Raw genomic sequence first — 5,254 nt, forward strand, 5'->3', positions numbered from 1 at the left:
GGAGAATTGCTTGAACCCGGGAGGCAGAGGTTGCAGTGAGCCGAGATTGCGCTGCTGCACTCTAGGCTGGGCAACACAGCAAGATTCTGTCTCAAAAAAAAAAAAAAAAAAGAAAAAAAGAATGTGAGGGAGTCTTTTGAGAAGTGTGGTTCACTGGACAGAGATGAAGACAGTTTACTGGGCCGTAAGTCTGGAGATTAAATGCTGGGTAATCCGAAGAAACAATGACTTCCTCTGATGGGGCCAGCAGGAGGACTTCCTGGAAGAGATGAGCCTTTAGTCTAAAGTTTGAGGGTTGAAAAGGATTTGAATAGGCAGAACTTGGGGGTTGGTTAGGGAATTCCAGGAAGGAGGAGAGGCTTAGCACTGTGGCCTGAGGAGCTTGGTCACAACTGGGTCTCAGAACTATTCCTGTGAGTGGGGAGACAACAGAAGGGAGGCCAAGGGGAGGCCTGGAAGACCAGGAAGCTTCTCTCTGCTTTGCTGTTACCCACGGCCATCCTCGACTACACCCAGGATGTAGTAGAGGCCGCAGAGTGCCTCTGTGGGCACAGGCACTCCTGCAACTGTCTGCGTTATGAAGGGGTTTCTGGAGGAAAGGAGGGGAGCCAGGGGCCAGCTCAGGGTTGGGGAGTGGCACACCTAAAACACACTGAGAGTGAAATCCACTGCAGACCCCTCAGCTCATTGCCTCACGTCATCCTTATTCCAGCCCCGGTGGCAAGAGGAGGGAGGTAGGTGTTTTCTTCTCATTTTCTGGATGCCACCAAGGCTCCTGGAAGTTAAGTGCCTTTGCCCAAAGTTGTACAGTTGCCCAGGGGCAGGGCTGGGTTGCAGAGCTGGGGCTGTTGGAGTCCTGGTTTCCACTTTTTTTTGTTTTTGTTTTTGTTTTTTTGAGACAGGGTCTTGCTCTGTCACCCAGGCTGGAGTGTGATCACAACTCACTGCAGCCTCCACCTCCCAGGCTCAAGCAATCCTCCTACCTAAGCCTCCCAAGTACCTGAGACTACATGTGTGCACCACCATGCTTGACTAATTTTGTAGAGAAGGGATCCCCCTATGTTGCCAGGTCTCGAACTCCTGGGCTCAAGCAATTCTCCTGCCTCGGCCATAGGCTTCCCTAGTCTTTAGAAGCATGAGAGATAGCAGCTCAATCCCATTACTACCTCCAAGAGGCAGATGCCCCCAAATATCAGAAAATTGGAAAAGCCAATTCCTTGATTTTGGAATCCCTATTTAACGGGCACTCTGTTTAGTTTGGGCAATGCTATACTTACATACATCAAGTGTATTGTTAAGGAAGAGAAGATAGAAGCATCCAGAGAGATGAGAGGAATTAAATATTTGCTAAATAGGGACAGTGTTGGTTTAAAAAAAAATTTGCTGAGGATCACCCACCATGAGAATCTCAGTGGAGCTTTGATGGTATAGTCCTGGAAATGGGAGTTGAGCGGGGGAAATGGAAGTTTGTTGAGTTGTTGAGTACCTACTATGTGCCAGACACCCACCCATCCCATCCCCTCCCCTCCTCTGTCCTCCCCTCCCCTCCCCTCTCCTCTCCTCTTTCCTTTCTCCCTTTCCTTTCCTCTCTCTCTCCCCTCTTCCTTCGTTTTTTTTTTTTTTTTTGTGTGTGTGCATGTGTGTGTGTGACAGGTTCTTGTTCTGTTGCTTAGGCTAGAGTGCACTGGTGTGACCACGGTTCACTGCAGCCTCAACCTCCTGGTCAATTGATCCTCCCACCTCAGCCTCCCAAGTGGCTGGGACTACAGGTGCATGGTGCTATGTCTGGCTAATTTTTGTACTTTTTGTAGAGACAGAGTTTTACCATGTTACCCAGGCTGGTTTCAAACTCCTGGGCTAAAGTTATCTGCCCATCTTGGCCTCCCAAAGTGTTGGAATTACAGGCATGAGCCACTGTGCCTGGCCAGACACTGTTTTTCTTAACTGGCACTCACAACTCTGAATAGGTAATGTTATGCTCAGATTACAGATGAGGAAATTGAGGCTCAGAGAGATTAAGTAACTTGCTTGGGCTGTGAATGTTAGTCTCTTTCTGCTGCCTCCTGCATCCTGCACAGGTGCTTGTTTCTGCTCGTAGAGCAATGAAGGATGGGGACCCTCAGAGGTGTCCAGCTCAGACAGACCTACTAGGGTCCAGGTAGGAGGCAGATCATGGTGGTTTTGCTGTTGGGTATGTGTGAATGTCACACTGCTGTTTGGCTCAGTTCCTAATAGATGCAGGGTTGGAAAATTTGCTGCAGAAAGTCCTGCAAAATGCTGTCAATTATTCAAACTAAAGACAGAGTACTCGGAAAGAGAACTGGGTAGGGAGTCAAGATACCCAGGTTCCATCCTGTCTCTGCTTCTGACATGCTATGTGGCCTTGAGCAAGTCTTCTCTAGGGCTCAGTATCCTCACTGCCAAATCGAGATCATGGACAAGGTGACCTCTATGATCTAACTCTAAAGCTTTGTAGAGGCCGGGCATGGTGGCTTACGCCTGTAATCCCAGCAGTTTGGGAGGTCAAGGCGGGTGGATCACCTGAGGTCAGGAGTTCGAGACCAGCCTGGCCAACATGGTGAAACCCTGTCTCTACTAAAAATACAAAATTAGTCAGGCATGGTGGTGCATGCCTGTAATCCCAGCTACTCGGGAGGCTGAGGCAGGAGAATCGCTTGAACCCGGGAGGTGGAGGTTGCAGTGAGCCGAGATCACATGACTGCACTCTCACCCTGGGTGACACAGTGAGACTCTGTCTCAAAAAATAAATAAATAAAAAAATATATAAAATATAGCTTTATAGAAAGAAGTAAGCATTCTGAGCATTGGTCACTTAAAAAAATTCTATAAACTGGAACCAGGGAACTAGAGTTAAGTTCCGTATCTTGGGACTTGAGCATGTGTTTAGAGGAAAAGTGACTTAGAATGATTGATAACATGGGAGTGGAGACCTTCAAGATCCACAAGTCCTATCTCAGTAATTTGCAGATGAGGCACGGAGGCCCAGAAAGAGGGAGGTTCTTGTTCAAGGTCACACAAGAGCAGTTGCAGGGGAAGCCCCTCCCCTAGGGAGAGGCCTGCTGGATCAAGAGCAAACAATGAGGGAAGAGAGCCAAGTTGCTAGGAGGCAAAGCTTGATGGACAAAAAAACGTGGGGACAGACCTGCGTGTGTTTGTGCTCTGTGTAACACTAGGACCTGTTGCCATGGGGATGAGAAAGCACCACAGATTAATTACTGAAGAGCTGGGAGCAAGGGTGGCGGACCTGAGTGGAGCCCCTGCCCTCAATGTCTCCTAGAGTCCATCTGTTCCCCAGTGGAAGACAGCAAAAATTACAGGGCTGCTTCTACCTCCAGTGAAGAACTAGTCAGAGTACAGCCATTCACTTTGCTACAAGCCTCATGTTTTTATTTTGAGGGGATCCTGTTTGCCTGCGGCTTGGGGGCAATCATCAGGGTAAGATTTCCAATCACAGCCTGGGTCAGGCCACCCTCAGGGCAGGCCAGGGAAGTTTGGGTCCCTCAGGGAGAAATTCCAAGTTTTAAGTCACTGTCATTTTCAATCCCTCTTCTTCACTCTTGGGAAATGCTTAGAAAAATGCCCCCACAACTGTCCCCCTCCATGAGGTGGGTTTGATAGCAGCACACAGGCCTTAAGTGACAGCAGGTGCTTCTGTCTCAGCAAGGATGGAATAGTCAGGCCTTTATTTTTCAGTGTCTGGAGCAGTGAAGGCAGTGAGGAAGAATCCTGATGAAACACTCCAGGCTCACCTGGTGGAGCCTTCAGCTTCCCTAGTTCTAAGACCAGCAGCAGAAATGGAAAAGCTGAACAGTGCTAATGAAGAGGTGACACCAAAGGAGACGTGGGTCACCGAGTGCACCAAAGGCATCACCTCTTTTAGGGGTTAAATCTGAAGTCTTGAGAAAAAGCACTTTAGGGAACAAAGCCTGTAACATAAAGGTAACTGTTTCTAAGTATTAGGTGGTAAAGCTGAGATCTTTGACTTATCAAAGACTAAGCCCTGGCTGGGCGTGGTGGCTCACGCCTGTAATCTCAGCACTTTGGGAGGCCGAGTCAGGCAGATCACCTGAGGTCAGGAGTTCGAGACCAGCCTGACCAACATGGAGACACCCCCGTCTCTACTAAAAATAGAAAAATAGCTGGTCGTGGTGGCGTATGCCTGTAATCCCAGCTACTGGGAGGCTGAGGCAGGAGAATCGCTTGAACCCAGGAGATGGAGGTTGCAGTGAGCTGAGATCATGCCATTGCGCTCCAGCCTGGGCAACAAGAGTGAAACTCTGTCTCAAAAAAAAAAAAAAAAAAAAAAAAAGACTAAGCCCTGGTCACTCCACATCCAGGTAATGATACTCTGCTCTAAGAGCAAGTTTTGCTATATTTGACATCTGCTGGAGAGATGTATTTTATCTTATCATAGGTCTGTGAAAACACCCAAGTGTTTCTTTTTTCATAGAGACAGGGTCTCACTATGTTGCCCAGGCTGGTCTCAAACTCCTGGCCTTAAGCCATCCTCTCACTTCAACTTCTTGAATTACTGGTGTGAGCCACCATGCCCAGCCCCAAGAGTTTCAACCAAGAATTAAGAGAGTAGCCCATACCAGCATTAAAAAGTAGACAGTTCATTAAAAAAAAAAATGGACATGTGAAAACCATGTCACATAGGAGAATGTCCTGATTCTTAGGAGATGTATGCTCAAGTATTTAGAAGTGGTGATATAACACCTCACCTGAAAATGTTTCGGCAGACAGAATAAAGTACAGTTGACCTTTGAACAATGCGGGCTTGAACTGTGTGGGTCCACTTTCACGTGGATTTTTTCAACCAAATAAGGATAGAAAATACTGCATTTGTAAGATGCAAAACCCACATATATAGAAGGCTGATTTTCATATACGCAGGTTCTGCAGGGGTGACCTTGGGACTTGAATATGGTGCAGATTTTGGTATGTGTGTATCTTGGAACCAATCTCCCTGTGTATACTGGGGGATGGCTGTATATTTAAATGTGTTTGTAAACAATTGGTGAATCCAGATGAAGAATATAGTGTCCAAAATATGTATTGTTTCAGTTTTTAAAAAATTAAACTTAAATGTTCAAACTAAAAAGTGGGTAACTTTTTCCAGAAACTTGGAATTTACAAACTGGTTGAAACAATGAAATAGATGGCCCCTAATATACTAGGAGCCCTTCCTAGATTCAAACACTCCCAAATCAAGATTCCAACATCTGCCAAC

The sequence above is a fragment of the Homo sapiens genome, chromosome 11 (assembly GCF_000001405.40).
Source record: "Homo sapiens chromosome 11, GRCh38.p14 Primary Assembly".
Lineage (NCBI taxonomy): Eukaryota > Metazoa > Chordata > Mammalia > Primates > Hominidae > Homo > Homo sapiens.